A 15,494-nucleotide genomic window follows, 5' to 3' on the forward strand; every position below is an offset into this window, starting at 1 on the left:
GTGCCTCTTAAAAGTCCCCTTTGTCACTTTGGGAGGCCAAGGTGGGAGAATGGCTTGATCCTTGGAGTTCGAGACCAGCCTGGGCAACAAAGTGAAACCTTATCTCTACAAAAAATACAAAAATTAGCCAGGCATGGTGATGCATGCCTATAGTTCCAGCTACTAGGGAGGCTGAGGTGGGAGGATTGCTTGAGCCCAGAAGGTCAAGGCTGCAGTGAGCTGTGAGTGCACCACTACACTCCAGCCTGGGTGGCAGAGTGAGACCCTATCTCAAAAAGAAAAAAGTCCCCTTTGAAGGCGTTCATCCCACTGGTATTAAAACAGTGCTGGCTGGGCACGGTGGCTCATACCTATAATCCCAGCACTTTGCGGGGCCGAGGTGGGTGGATCACCTGAGGTCAGGAGTTCAAGACCAGCCTGACCAACACGGAGAAACCCCGTCTCTACTAAAAGTACAAAATTAGCTGGGCGTGATGGTACATGCCTGTAATCCCAGCTACTTGGGAGGCTGAGGCAGGAGAATAGCTTGAATCCAGGAGGCAGAGGTTGTGGTGAGCTGAGATTGCACCATTGCACTCCAGCCTGGGCAACAACAGTGAAACTCTGTCTCAAAAAAACAAAAAATAGTGCTTACTACAGCATTAGCACTGAGTAGGGCCAGCAGAGGGTAGGCCTAATGCGACACAGGGCTGGTGGCTGGTACATTCTGATCAGGTGTGGGGAGAGGAGGAAGCTGACAGAATGTGGAGGCAGGAATGGAACAGGGCACCTATAGAAGACATCTGTTGTTATTGACTATGCAGGTTCTAGGCCCCCTTTTTTGGAATGAAAGCACCCAGATTTTCCTTAGCGGACTCCCCTTTTCCCCAAATTTTAGAGAAGCTGCCTCTGTCACTAACTCTAGAGCCTGGACAATCAGAGCATCCCTGGGCAACAATGGTTGGTTCAGGGATAGGCACATGACCCCCAAAAGCAGAGACATTGAGGCCCAATTACAGAACTCTGGTTGGCCCCATGAGGGCTTCGCTCTTCTCTTTCTGCTGAGGTTTGCGGGGAGGACAGGATGTGAGCTGAGGCTGCCACTGTCTCCTGGGGAAGAGTGTGGAGGGTGAAACCAATTTCTAAAGTCATTATCACTTCACTGTGGGATCCAGACGGGCTTAAAGCCAGCAGAAGCCTGGACTTTTTGGTAATGTGAACCAATACATCGTTTTTCTGGTGTCAGCCAGTTTGAGTTGAGTTCTGTAACTGAAAGTCTAACTAGTTAAGACCAGGAGGGCCCTGAGCCCTCATGGCAGTGCCTCTGAGGGAGGTAAAGCAGATGTGGAAGTTTGATAAGGAAGGATACCCACTTTAATACTGGGCCTCTGCTTGACTCTGCCTAGCATGGGAAGACATCAGTCTCCCCATCACATAAAGAACACACTTGGGTTGTTGTTTATACTAATACAAAACCGTTACTTCTACCCTTTATCCTTCGCCACCAGTATGTGAGTATGTGAGGGGAAAGAAAGTTGTGCTCCTCATGCTTCCTAATGACACAAATACCTGTCCTAGCAGTGTGACCTTGGACAAGTGTCAAGGTGGCAGATTCCCCATCTCTGCTGAGAAGGAGCCGGACTCAGTGACCTCCGAGATCCTGAGCAGCTCCAGCATTCTATGAGCTTCTGAGTTAAGGAAGATCCATGATACCCACTTCCCAGCGGCATATTTCAGAGCTCACTTTTTTCGCAACGATACAGAGTTGTTCGGCTGGAAGGTAGTCAAACGGGAAAACAAATCGCCAGTTAAAATTCCCTTCACCATCCAAAGATCTGTAATGGACATCTGTTTTCTGTTTGTTTTCTTCATTGCCAGGAATCCAGCTGAAAGGCAGAGGCAAACAGACTTAGCTTCACGTGATTGACAAGTCATGTAGCCGCAAAATTGTGCAGTAATTAGGGGAGCAAAGAGCAGGAGAATTAATGCACTTTTCTTGGGCAGATTCCAGTTATCTTCGGAGCTGGGGGTGATTTATGGAGGGGAGGTGCTCTATTGCATCCAACACAGGTTGTGGCCAAATAAAATATCATTCCCCTAAAACCAAAGCAGGAAACCCTTTAGACTTCAGTTAACAGGGCTAAGGTGAAATTTTCTGGAAAATATCAACAATGTAGCTTCTATTTTGGGTACAATGAAGCCTGCTGGCTATGACTTTAGTCCTCACAACTATAACTCATCAGTGTCTTTCAGCACTGCTGATAGGTTAAATGAATATGAGTTAGCTCAAAATTTTAGCATTTCCTTTCCCATATTTTACTTAAGCAAACCAAAGAAGCACAAATCAAGTAATCTTACAGCTTCCTTTTTATAAATTATTCTTAAATTCACTATGATAATATTAATGATACCGGCAAGGAAGATGTCAGCTCTTATTTCCACATGCATATCTATGAGCATTCATTTCAGTAACATCTTAACTTTTAACGTTTGAGAAGTTTTCTTCTGCTTGTGCCTGGCACATAGTAGACACTAGATAAATACCTACTGAAGGAATGAATGAATGAATGAGTGTGCCCAGAAAGAAGTTGTTGCTACTGGGAAGACTTCTAGTTTGAAACCAGGGGGTAACATTCGATTTTACACTGTCAAAGCAATAGAGAGCGCATGGTTTTCTCGAAACTGCACATTAGAATCACATTAGAATCGACTGGGGACGTTTTAAAAATATTGATGCCTGGACCCCACAGATAGATAGAGATTCATGGTAGGAGGCAGGCCTGGCTGGAAAAACTCTCTGAGCCTCATCTCGCATCTGTAAAATAAGATTAATGATATGTGCGCCCTTCACATGGTCGACACGCAGACAGAAAAGATTATGGTTTAGCAGGGGCAGAGTGGGAATGGAGGTACCTTTAACACACAGTTATCATCTTCTATGAACCAGGTACTTTACATGCATTATTTTATTCTTCCCAACAACTGCGTAACTATCTCCATTTTGTGGAAGAGGAAACTGAGGTTCAGAGAGAATATATTAACTTGCACAAGGTCACATAGCCCAGAACTGACAGAACTAAGTAGGATTCCCAGGTCAGTCTGATTGCGAAGTCCACATCTGTTACTCTGCCTCAAAGAACCACAGAGATTGCAAAGTCACTTGAAAATATTAAGTCCTACTATTAGTAGTGGTATTAATACCAATCAACTGCAGTAGTTTTCCTTTTTGCTAGTCAATTAACTGACTAGATAAATGAGTTGAAAGATTCCTTTTGACTATTAACCTTTTTTTTTTTTTTTTTTTTTTTACAAGAGCCAGGTTCTCACTATGCTGCCCAGCCTGGACTTCAAACTACGGGGCTCAAGTGATCCTCCTGCCTCAGACTTCTGAGTAGCTGAGACTGCAGGCGTAAGCCACCATGCCCAGTTTTGACTATTAACTTTTAAGGTAACTCACTGAGGAGAGTTCACATTCTCTTGGCCATGACCTTGGTGGCCTCACCTCCTGACCCACCCCTAAGGGTCACCATCATCCTACCCTAGACTGCTCACCCTTACAGCTCTTCCTCTCTTTTTTTGGTGAATTTTCACATTTAATTTTAAACATAAATCTTTTCATACTTTAAGACAAGTCAAACAGCTCCTATAGGTATACGTATTTGTGTGCATGTATGTATATGTATAGCTTGGTATGTAATATAATACCCAGCTGTGTCTAGCACTAGGCATGGTATTTATGCACGATTCATCTTTTCACATGTCGTATTTAGATTTTTATTCCAAATTTTGCAAGGTACTTTAAGTTGAGCTTTATTCTCTGATTAGAGGAGTTTTCTCTCCGTTCAGAATTACTTGAGTTTGTTTCCCTGATTTGAAAAAAAAAAAAATAATGCTTATGATAGTCAAATAAATTTGCATATATATAATTAGCTGAGATTAGTTTCCCTAGAGAATGGTAATGAGATCCAAAAATAATAATGAAGAACTTGATGAAACATTCCCTGTTTATAGTGAACCTAAATGATACTAATTATATCTTTAACAAAGTTTTGATTGAAGGCCACATGGGATTATAGGTGAAACTTTGTTCTCACTTTATGAATATATTAAATGTCGCAAGTCTTATCTTTCATGTATCAAGGAATCAAACTCAGTCCACGTGGAATAGCAACAATACTATGTGCCAGGCACTGTCCTAAATGCTTTGGATAACTGGATCACCTGAATATCCCTGGGAAGGAAGAATAATCATTATCACCATTTTACAGATGAGGAACAGCGAGCTAACTACCTTGCCCAGACAGTAGGGAAAGCACCAGAATGTAGTCGCTATGCTGTACTGCACGCAACATCTATGATCGAGGCATATGATCAAGGCATAGCCATCCACAGAGACGATTTAATTGAATTAGGCAAGTAAGAGAATATTGAACAACAATGACACTTGACATGTTGGATGCTGGCACTCAGTGCAGGTTGGGAGAATAAATTACTTCCTTTGAAATCTGCGAACATTTCCTCTTTTCCATAGACATGGGCTGCTGGTAATAAAATATGTAGAAAATGAAATTTTGGGAGCTTTACTTGTGTTTCTAAGGCTAGTTATTCAGGGTATCAAAGAGGAATAAAAAGAAACTACATGGCTAAAACGTCCCAGAAATAATACATCTGCTTAAGAAACTGAAGAAAATCCATTTTGTCAAAAAGGAAACAAAGAAATATTTATCAGTTCTTATAATCCTTATATAGCTTTCCTCATAAACAAAGTCTGTACAGGTCTTGCTCTCTCTCCTTTGCTTTCCAGGAGCTACCTAAGTAGATCACATTAATGAGATAAAATAACCTCAAAAAACCAAGAATCCTATCTTGGGCATATTCAGTAATGAAAACTCACGAAGGAGAGAGTCTGTTTCCCTGAGCTTGGCAAAGTCTCTCACATGCTAACCTTACCCTTTGACGTAGATGTCACTCATTTCCTCTCCTGTGATGCTTTTCTCGTCCAAGATAACGTCCTTGGTGTTCCAGATGATCACACGCAGGTAGTATCTGCAAGAAGCACAGTTGGAAGGTACTTTTTTTTCTGGTCCTGGACCAAGTCCCCAGCCCAGTGTATGTATCAGGGTCTCAGGATGACTGACTTACTTCTTGGCTTTCCGGGGTGTGATGTTGAAAGGAGGGCCTGGTGGCCCCAAACTCTTGGGGAAAACATCCACCCACATCTGAAGTTTTCCCTAAACCATTTGAAAATGAAAAGAGGACTGAAGTTATATGATGGGTAGCAGAAGTCACAATTTTCTTTCATATTTCTTAGATGAAACTATTTCTTTCTTTGGTCTCTCTAATTTATTAGTCCACATGGAAGGCAAGAAGTGGAAGAGAGCAAACCAAGGTTAATCTTTTATGTACAATGTCATTTAGGCCACCCACTTTCCATTCTCACTCAGGGGTCTCTGACGGCTGCACATGCCCACCTGTATCATAGTCTGGGTCTCGCCTGGTTAATAAAACTGCAGACTTCCCATCACTAACCCAACCCCAACATACACATCCCACAGGCAGGCACACGCACGTGCACACACACACACACGCGCGTGCGCGCACATCCCCCCTCTTACAATGACTTAAAATTGGGTCCTTCGCCTTTAGCAGTTCTCAGGCTGTCATTCTATCCATCACATTGCCCACCTGACACCAATCCCCATTTTGCCATACCCAAGGGTTTCTCTACTTACCTCAAAATATAAAATCAAAGTAATGAATGCAATTAGTGAAAATGGTATTTAATTTTGTAAAAGAAAAACAACATGGCATTTTCAAAAGAGGAGCTCAAACAATGATAATATTACAGTTCCCAAAAGGTAAGGATTCCTGGCCATTGGTTCATTAGTGCCCACCACCAGGTAAGTGGCTAGCAGGAAGGGGAGGTGAAAGCCTAGACTGACATTTGTGCTCCATCTTGGTGAGGTCCTGCTCAGCTCTTTGACTGACACAGACTTGGCCCATCCATCTGACTCGAATGTTCTTCCAGACAGGTCAGGAATGCCACGAAAAAACTATATCAACCGTACAAACCAATTTATATTCTTCAAACTGTTTTTGAGTGTTCTGTAGACTCTGTCTTCAGACAAAAACAAACTGATCTTCAAGAAAGTTGCCAAGGAAACCACTAGATTGGCTTCCTAATGCATTGTGATCAAAATACATTAAGTGGAGCTCTTGAAAAGGATGTATTTTACTATGATCCTGACTCTCCTGCAACTAATCTCTAGGGCTCAGGGCTCTACAATTCATCAAGCACTCTACAGAATATTAGGCGTCCAGTGTCTCCCCAAACCCAGCCACAGTCTGTGGCTAATGCTGGAGGCAGAAGTGATGGGGGTTTGTGGATTCCCGGGGAGAAATCTTCCTCACTCTGTCATTTCTTGAAACTCCTCATATGGCTAAGGGGTGAGAGGAGAGAAAGAAGGAGGAATAAGTTCTTTGGTGAAAGGAAGAGTAAGAAAAGGAAGAAATGGAAATGTAGAACAAAATAAAAGCAAGAAGGAAGTGACAAAACAACCTAGAAAGCCCAGGCCAACCCTTTTGCAATCAGCGTGTCCATAGTTTTGCTGTCAGGGTCAACAATATTTGCATCCATTAGATTAATATTTCTTTTTTTCTTTTTTTTTGTGAGACAGAGTCTGGCTCTGTCACCCAGGCTAGAGTGCAGTGGTGGGATCACGACTCACTGCAACCTCCACCTCCCTGGTTCAAGTGATTCTCCTGCCTCAGCCTCCCGAGTAGCTGGGGTTACAGGCACCCACCACCGCGCCCAGCTAATTTTTGTATTTTTAGTAGAGACAGGGTTTCACCATCTTGGCCAGGCTGGTCTCGAACTCCTGACTTCGTGATCCACCTGCCTCGACCTCCCAAAGTGTTGGGATTATAGGCATAAGCCACCGCACCCGGCCTAGATTAATATTTCTTAAAGTGTGATCAGAACCTCTTCAGGTACTTGTTAAAATTCAGATTCCTGGACCCACCCTAGACCTACTGGATCCAAATCTCTGCAGACATGGCCTGGACATCTTCATTATAACAAGCTTCCACATAGATTATTTTGTCAGTGGCCATGTCTTGCTTTGCTTCTGTGGAAACTGCTCTCCATCTTCTGGAGTGGAATGTCCCCCATTGCTATCCACATGGTCCTCGCCTCCCTGATACTGTAGTCTCAGATGGCACCTCCTGAACCGGGCCGAGCTCAATCACTTTCCCAGACCCTGCCCACCTCGCTGGAGCTCAGTGGTCCCATGGTGGGCAAAGGAGCCAAGTTTGGGCAACAAATCCCTATGCATTTAGAAGTAGATGGGGCTGCATTACAACACACAAGCACTCAAGGACTCTCTGTAATATCTGGACTCATAGGAAGGTGATCACAGCAAGAGGGCAGATGAAATAGACTCAGAGAAACAGATGAGACACAGAGAGACCCTGGTTCTGGTTTGTTCTGAGTCATGGCCAATCTCCTATCTAGATTTAGAGAGTTACCTGAAAATTCTTACAAAAAAATTCCCTTTTGATATGACGCTAATTTGAGTCTCATTTCTATTTCTGTGCATCTCAAAGTATTCAAAGAAGATAAAAGGCGCAAAAATGTCAACTACTGCCATTGCATTTGGGGCAGGGATAATGGTCTTCAAGGGAGGGAAGGCCCTTTACCTGGGAAATGTTGGGCTGGAAGGTGCTGTGCAAAGTCCTTGTTTCCACGTGCTCAGGGACCAGCCCCTGAGTCCTGAGGATGTGAAGAGCAAGCCGCTCTTCAGGGGCCCCGAGGTGCTGGTGCAGGATTTTGTTGGCTTCTGCAATGGAAAGCAGCATTGAAGCAGGAATGAGTATTTGGGAATAGTTCAGCCAGATTGCCTAGAGCTGCTTCCAGCACTTCATCCCAGACTTTGCCAAAATGGACAGGCAGTGCCAACATGCAAACTTTGACTTGTGAAGGAAGAGTTGACAGAAAGAGCTTCTGACCAGGAGCCCTGTCCCAACCAGGCTCAAGCCTAACTTGTGGACTGCCAATAGTAAAGGGGCCAGGACACCAGAACGGGTAAGTGGGAGCGTTATATATTTACTTCTGTGGCACGAGCTCATGGCCTGCCTGTTTCTCAGCCTCCCTTGCAGTTAGAGGAGGCCATGTGACCAAGTTCAGCCAGAGGGTAACATGGGTAGAAGTGACATGTGTATCTCCTCCGGACCTGGCCCATAAATCCCTCCTGGGTAGGAGTCTCTATGTGCCTTTTTCTTCTGGCTGCAAAAAGGAACAGCAGCCTCAGACTCCTGCACTTAAGAACTGCAGAGCTAGAAGACGGCAGGGACCTGGGTTCATGGAGCACTGCTTGGAAGACAGCTACCCACCTGGAGGAATACCTACTTAGAATCAATGAGAAATAAACTTTTTTTGTGTTAGAACACGGAAATTTGGAGGTTCAGTTTTTACAGCAGCTGGCATCACTGGTATTCTGGGTTTTTTGTATGTTTTTTGAGACAGTCTCGCTCTGTCATCCAGGCTGGAGTGCAATGGCGTGATCTCGGCTCACTGCAACCCCTGCCTCCTGGGTTCAAGCGATTCTCGTGCCTCAGCCTCCCGAGTAGCTGGGATTACAGGCATGTGCCACCACACGCAGCTAATTTTTGTATTTTTAGTAGAGAGAGGGTTTCACTATGTTGGCCAGGCTGGTGTCGAACTCCTGGGCTCAGGCGATCTGCCCTCCTCGGCCTCCCAAAGTGCTGGGATTACAGGTGTGAGCCACTGTATCTGGCCACCACTGTGATATTCTAAAAACATAGGCCCCAGATTCTCTTGACACTTCTCCCATGAAGAGGTGGGGTCTGTGTCATTTCCCTTTGAATCTGGAGACGTAGTCAAACACTGGAGTATGGAGAAAAGATGCTGTGTGACTCCAAGGCTTAGACACAAAAGGCCACACAGCTCCTGCCTGGTTTTCTGGGGACCCTCACTCTGGGGGACACCATCCACATGTAAGGAGCCTGGGTCTGCAGTCTCCCCTGCTGGAAAGGCCTGTGTAGGTGCTCTGGTCATCAGCCCCAGCCGAGAGCCAACACAACTGCCAGCTGTGTGTGTGGACCACCTGACTGCTCCCCCGAGCAGGGCTTTCAGATGACTGCAGCCTCAGCCAACATCTGACTGCAACCACAGGAGATGAGCCACCCAGGCTCAAACCTAACTTGTGGACTGCCAATAGCAAAGGGACCAGAACTCCAGATCCGGTAAGTGGGAGCATTCTGTATATACTCTTGTGGCACAAGCTCATGGCCAGCCTCGGCCAGAACTGTTCACCTGAGCCCGTCCTGAATTCCTGACCCCGCAAAACTGTGAGGAAAACAAAATGGTTGTTTTCAGTTACTAAGTTTGGGGTGATCTGTTATATATCAATAGTAACTGGAACAATCCCCATGACGGGGGAGTTGTTTGATTGTTTGGGGGTACCCTTAACCATTAGACCATGATGCTTCCCAATTTATTTCCAATCCTGTTTGCAAGTTCACGTTAGAAGCAGCATCAACATTTCTTAAACATCTAATCATCCCTGATACCAAGTCCTCTTTAAAATGGAAAGACAAAACATAAGTTTTTTTGTTTGTTTGTTTTTTGAGACAGGATCTCACTCTGTCGCCCAGGCTGGGGTACAGAGGCACGATCTCAGCTCACTGCAACCTCTGCCTCCTGGGTTCAAGCGATTCTCATGCTTCAGCCTCCTGAGTAGCTGGGATTACAGGTGCATGCCACCACACCCGGCTCTTCTGTTTGTTTGTTTTTGTATTTTTAGTAGAGTTGGGCTTTCACCATGTTGGTCAGGCTGGTCTTGAACTCCTGACCTCAAATGATCCACCCGACTCGACCTCCCAAAGTGCTGAGATTACAGGTGTGAGCCACTGTGCCCGGCCTCAAAACATCGTTTTTTACAATGTCACGAATCAAGCTGAGGAGCAGAAAGCACTTTTCTTCCTGTGCACGTTTGTTCAGCTCCCCCTGGATATCCCATGCCCTTGCCACCGCCCCCTCTGGGTAACCCTCCCCCGTGCAAAATATGGAAGCACAGTTCGCATGCTCTATGATGCTTACTGCAGTCTTTGTCATAGTGTAGCTAGCTGTTGATGCGTCAGGACAGGTCGGATTATAAATTGCTGGTTGGGAAAGAGCAAGACCCCAAGCTTGAACATGAGCCAAATGGGAACATAGCAGGCTCTTCAAGCCAACCATAACATCCCTGAAGCTTCTGGGAGAAGGGACAGAACAAATGATGGGATAAACCTGGAAGGGAAATTCCTGCACTACTGTATGGGCATTTTTTTAGCTAATTATGCATTACATGGAAATTAGTTCATTACTAGTACTTTGTATAAAGCTCTAATGGCTATAATCTAAAAAGGGCAAGTGAAACAGCAGACAAGAAAATGTGTCCACTTTGACACTTGACAAGACAGCAGAACTCTGACGTGGCTGTTGTTAGTGTCACGTGCACAGTCTCATGTGGTATAATTAGGGTACTGGCTCTGTCTATTCACTCCCCCAAACCCAGCAATATATATGGGTTACTATACTTTGTACCAGTTTACAATCCACAGCTAGGTGCTCACCAAATTCATCCAAGCTGTAGTCTCGTCCTCCATATCTGATTCTACTCCCATCTTCGGAAAGGATGGGTTGTGGGAAGCCTTTGAATCTGGCGACATTTTGAAGCAGCTGTGTTGGTCTCAGTTGATCTCGCCAGGTATTGACTCCAGAACTGTGAATAGCATCACGTGGCTCGGAGTTACGGAGGAGCCTGCAGGTTCTTCTCAGATTCACACATACATGCTCATGTACTCTTAGGTGCTCCCATATAGTGGGTGCAGAAAATCTGCGCTACACTCTGACTTTGGCCTAGAAATCTATTTCAGAGTCCTAAAAACCCATATGCTATTTTGGCCTCAGAGAAACAAATGTATTTATTTATTTAATATTATTTAGCCCTCAGTTTCCTCCTCCATAAAAGTGAGGAGTTGAGATCACTCTAGTCATAATAGGCAAACTCATAAACTAGAAATTGCAAGCTATGTCTTAATCAGATACTGTGGAAAGACACTGTATACCAGGCAGGGGAAGAGGGAGTCACAAAATTAAGTAGAGGGCACAAAGAATCCCTATTTCCCAAGGACAGGAAATCCCTGCTATCAAACGTTGCCAGTCCTCAGTCCTTGACATCCAGGAGGGGCTCAATGACGGGGAGCAAGGGAACTGGTCTCTGGGCTGCTAACTGTGCCATTCCCCAGCGCACAGCACTGCTCCAGCTGCCACCATTTTACACACACTGTGATGTGAATAGGGGCCATGAGGTGGCCCGGAGATTCCCTAGAATAATCCTGCGATTGAAATCCATACCTGAGTGATAGGAGCAGTGGCTCAGTGAAGGAAGGCACTAAGGTAGAGGGCCTAGGCCTCCCCAGGTGCCAATGTCAGAGGCAGCAAAGTGCCTCTTGTACAGTCAAAGCAACTTACACACAGTACTCCTCTGGTATGCCGCAGTGGGACCCAAAGCGGGAAAGGAATCGGTTTTCCAGATCAATAATTGTTTCTCCTACTTTTTCATCCCGGGTAAAGGTGTCATAATCATAGACAGAAATTTTCAGGTCTTTTTCTTGAGGTAAGTAGCAGCTCAGTTCGTACATCCTAAATAAACAAATGCAAGGTCAGAATCTTCATGATCCATCTGAGTACCTCACAAAAACTGGGGCTCTGTGCACAGAATTCCCAGGCTGTGTGTAGTATGGCTGCTGGAGGACATCTGAGCAGGATAACCAGGGTGGGTGGTGGTGGGTGGCTTGATAAATAGTACATACTAGAAATAAGAACAAGAAGAGAACATATGCTTGCTCAGGGAAACCTGTGGGCTTTAAATGCCTAGCTTCAAATCCTACCTCTGCTGCTTACCAGCTGTGGGACTCTAGACCAGTTACTTCTCTGTGCTAAGTTTTCTCATCTGTAAAGTGGTGATAATAATCCCTCCCATCAGTGTCGCTATAAGTGTCAAGTGAAGAAATATTTAGAGAGCATCTGACATGAGTGCATCGCTCCAATGCCAGTATAATAATAATGATGTATTATATTATTAACTTTATCATCACATGCCCATTAGCTGTTCACCAGAGCACCTCCACCCAGCTCAGAGATGAGTAAGGCACAAGTACCCTGACTTATAGCCCCCTACCTGTGCCCCTCCTAGGTTCCCTCCTCTGCCTCAATAGAGACCACTGCCCCATGGAACATCTTTGACTCACCCCACAGAAGCACAGGGGAGGGGAGTGAGTGTGATTCACCATAGGGTGTGATATGTAGGGTGCCCCAAAGGCTCCCCTCTTCTCCCAGACCCACTGGGTATGCCCTTGGCTCCAGTTCTTTAAGGCTTTTCTATAGAACCCATATGAAAATGCAAACACTCCTGAGATGAAGAGAAAGAGTCAGACAGTGCTTCTGTGGTGGGTGGGCGATGTATGCTAGAGGGTGGGCTTTGGGCTCTGTATCTGCACTATCCACAGAGGGACAGTCCCGGAGAAGGTGCTCAATATGTTCTATTGAAGGAGAAGCTGTGAGAGGCCTCCTCTCTGCCTCCTCCCCTTCTCCTTGCACTCTGGTGTGTGGACTGGTCCCTGCCCAAAGAGCCAGGAATGTTGATCCATTTGAGCAGAAAACAGATGTGAGAAAAGGTGCTTGAGTCATGACACATGAAGCACCTTACCCACATGTGCCCCCAAACATCACATTTCCAATCCCAACTTCCAAGAAGCAAATCATATGTGGTCTCTGGAAAGAATTCTTCAGTCAAATAAGGTTGAGAACCACTTCTTTTGCAGTTCTTCTGGACAAACTAAAGGTTCTGAGAAGTCCTGCAATTATAACTTTTAAACCCAAGTGTCTTGGTTTTACTAAGGAATATTTTTTTTTCTTGGAACATCAATTAATATCCTGTGGAAGACACCGATATTCTTTTGAAGGTGATCTGCCATGATGGATAGGACTCTGAGTAACGGCCACGCACATAGGAAAGGTTGTTCCTTCCTGAATTCCTGTTCCAGAGTCCCCAAGAGTCTCTGCGGAGAAGAAAGCTACCCCCTAAGACTGAGGCCATGGACTGGAGCCATCTGGGGGCTGCAGAGCCGGCATCTCCTTGGCTCCACCCTGCTGGATGAGGGGAAGTCTGCCCATCCGCCAGACAGCGATTGGCCGAGCAGAGCCTACAGCACCCCTTCCTTCCAGGGTGCCTCCGAGCAAGACTTTTCCTGCCACTTAATTAAGCTTGTGCCTGGCTCCTCTGAGACGAGCAATTCAGACAGGGTTGCCTTTCTCCCTTCAAAGCTGGCTTTCCCTGCTTCCCTGTCTCCCTCACGGGAGCCCTCCTTCCTGCCCTGCGTGCCTTTTCCTGTCTAGACCTCGGGGCTGGATCAGTGGAAGAAAAGGAAAACGATCATATTGCGGTGCCAGAGGATTACTTCCATTCCCTGGCCCGGGTGCATGGCCTTGGGTGTGCAGCATGCGGGGGGCGTAGGGGGGGTGGGGGGTGGGCAGGTGTGTGCATGTATGTGTGTGTGACACATGACAGAGAAAGAATACGTAAGGCTACAAACCAACAAACCCGAGAAGGAAAGAAGCATATGGGCAAGATAATAAAGCCAGAAATAAAAATATATGCCACGCAGCAAATAAGAACACAGTATTCTCTCACTCAGCAAGGTTCTGAGAACAAAACATCATTTTCACAAATGTCTCAGACAGAGAACATTTTTCTACAGGTGATGGCTTTGCCACAAATGTGAAACATCACCAAGGCGGTTGGAAAAGCATGGGGCTTGGAGTCAGCAGAATTTCTAGCTAAATCTCGGCTCTATCACTTACCCCACCTCTATTAATAGAGCTCTGGGAGCCCTGTTTTCTGCACCTGTACAGTCGGGTTGGTAATCCCTGCCCTGAGCAGCTAATAAGTTTGACATGGAGATGGAAATCAGACCGTGGCGTGCCACACAGACACTGGGGTCAGATGGTCTGAGTTCAAATCCTCATTCTTTTATTTTTTTTTTTTGGGAGACGGAGTCTTGCTCTGTCGCCCAGGCTGGAGTGCAATGGCGCGATCTCAGCTCACTGCAACCTCCACCTCCCAGGTTCAAGCAATTCTCCAGCCTCAGCCTCCTGAGTAGCTGGGATTACAGGTACACACCACCATGCCTAGCTAATTTTTGTTATTTTGTAGAGATGGGGTTTCACCAGGTTGGCCAGGCTGGTCTCGAACTCCTGACTTTGTGATCCACCAACCTCGGCCTCCCTAAGTGCTGGGATTACAGGTGTGAGCCATCGTGCCTGGCCCTCACTCTTCTCTTAAAAGCTAAGTACATTAAACACTGAGTCTCAGCCTGTCGCGGTGGCTCACGCCTGTAATCCCAGCACTTTGGGAGGGCGAGGCGGGCAGATCACAAGGTCAGGAGATTGAGACCACCCTGGCTAACACGGTGAAACCCCGTCTCTACTAAAAATACAAAAAAAATTAGCCGGGCGTGGTGGCAGTTGCCTGTAGTCCCAGCTACTCGGGAGGCTGAGGCAGGAGAATGGCGTGAACCCAGGAGGCGGAGCTTGCAGTGAGCCGAGATCACGCCACTGCACTCCAGCATGGGTGACAGCAAGACTCTGTCTTAAAAAAAAATAAAATAGGAATAATAATAGCACCTCAGAGTTGCGAGATTTTTTTGAGATGTTTTATATAAACAGCTCCGCAGACAGCCAGGTGGGAGGGGGGTCCCCGGAAAAACTCCAACTGGCCTGTGCTCCTATAACACTAGTACTAATGCTGTCTGTCTACCCTGCAAGCTATCAGAACCAAGCTTCTTCACTTCTGTGAAGTTCTTTTATTTTGGGTTTATCTATTTATTACCTGCTCCCCTGTCTAGAATGTTTATCTAGTTCACAAACACAGTTTCAGAGCCTAGGACAGGGTTGGACACATATTAGAGTCTTCATGCATGTTCCGTGGAGAAATGAAGGCCAGAAAAACATTTAAGAATGTATATTACCTGCCAAAGACTGGGTTGAGAGTGTTGGGAATGTAGTGATCTCGGTCTTCAATGACTTTTTTGCCCAGTGTTATTTTTATGTAAGGGTCACACTGTGGGACAAAATAGACGGGATGTTACATCATTGTAGGGCGCAAGGTGAAGTCAAGTTCAGGGACAGACTCAGCTCGCCTCCACACCCACTCCCAGCTGATGACAAGGTGGCCGCCATGGCACCCCGTGCCTAAGACAAGGGAGCAATGCTCTCCTTTGGGTGGCATGCAGCCAGTTGTGTGGGTGCAGGGGTGGTGGCAGGGGGCGGGGGGGAGTCCTGGCTCACACCTGTAAAATGAGAAGGATGAACCAGGGGACCTTAAGCCCCCCGCAAGCTCTTAGATAAATCCCCATGGGGACAATCCTCCTGAATACATTGTTTTGATGGA

General features: G+C 46.0%; 1 protein-coding gene across 10 annotated transcripts in view; it reads right to left on the minus strand.

Annotated features, from left to right (window-relative positions):
* MYOF (myoferlin) overlaps nucleotides 1-15,494 on the minus strand; it is a 175,906-nt gene that overhangs the window by 11,720 nt on the left and 148,692 nt on the right. For 9 of the 10 annotated variants that reach the window (XM_047425049.1, NM_133337.3, XM_005269694.6 and 6 more), the window contains 7 exons: nucleotides 15,073-15,164; nucleotides 11,516-11,686; nucleotides 10,615-10,763; nucleotides 7,678-7,817; nucleotides 5,122-5,210; nucleotides 4,930-5,025; nucleotides 1,724-1,865 (listed from right to left, as the gene is read on the minus strand). In XM_047425049.1, coding sequence (XP_047281005.1) covers nucleotides 1,724-1,865; nucleotides 4,930-5,025; nucleotides 5,122-5,210; nucleotides 7,678-7,817; nucleotides 10,615-10,763; nucleotides 11,516-11,686; nucleotides 15,073-15,164 — 879 coding nt within the window. Of the gene's footprint in view, nucleotides 1-1,723; nucleotides 1,866-4,929; nucleotides 5,026-5,121; nucleotides 5,211-5,743; nucleotides 6,420-7,677; nucleotides 7,818-10,614; nucleotides 10,764-11,515; nucleotides 11,687-15,072; nucleotides 15,165-15,494 lie in introns of those variants that run through there. The other variant, XM_017016070.3, reaches the window with a different exon arrangement.

The sequence above is a fragment of the Homo sapiens genome, chromosome 10, assembly GCF_000001405.40.
Source record: "Homo sapiens chromosome 10, GRCh38.p14 Primary Assembly".
Classification (NCBI taxonomy): domain Eukaryota; kingdom Metazoa; phylum Chordata; class Mammalia; order Primates; family Hominidae; genus Homo; species Homo sapiens.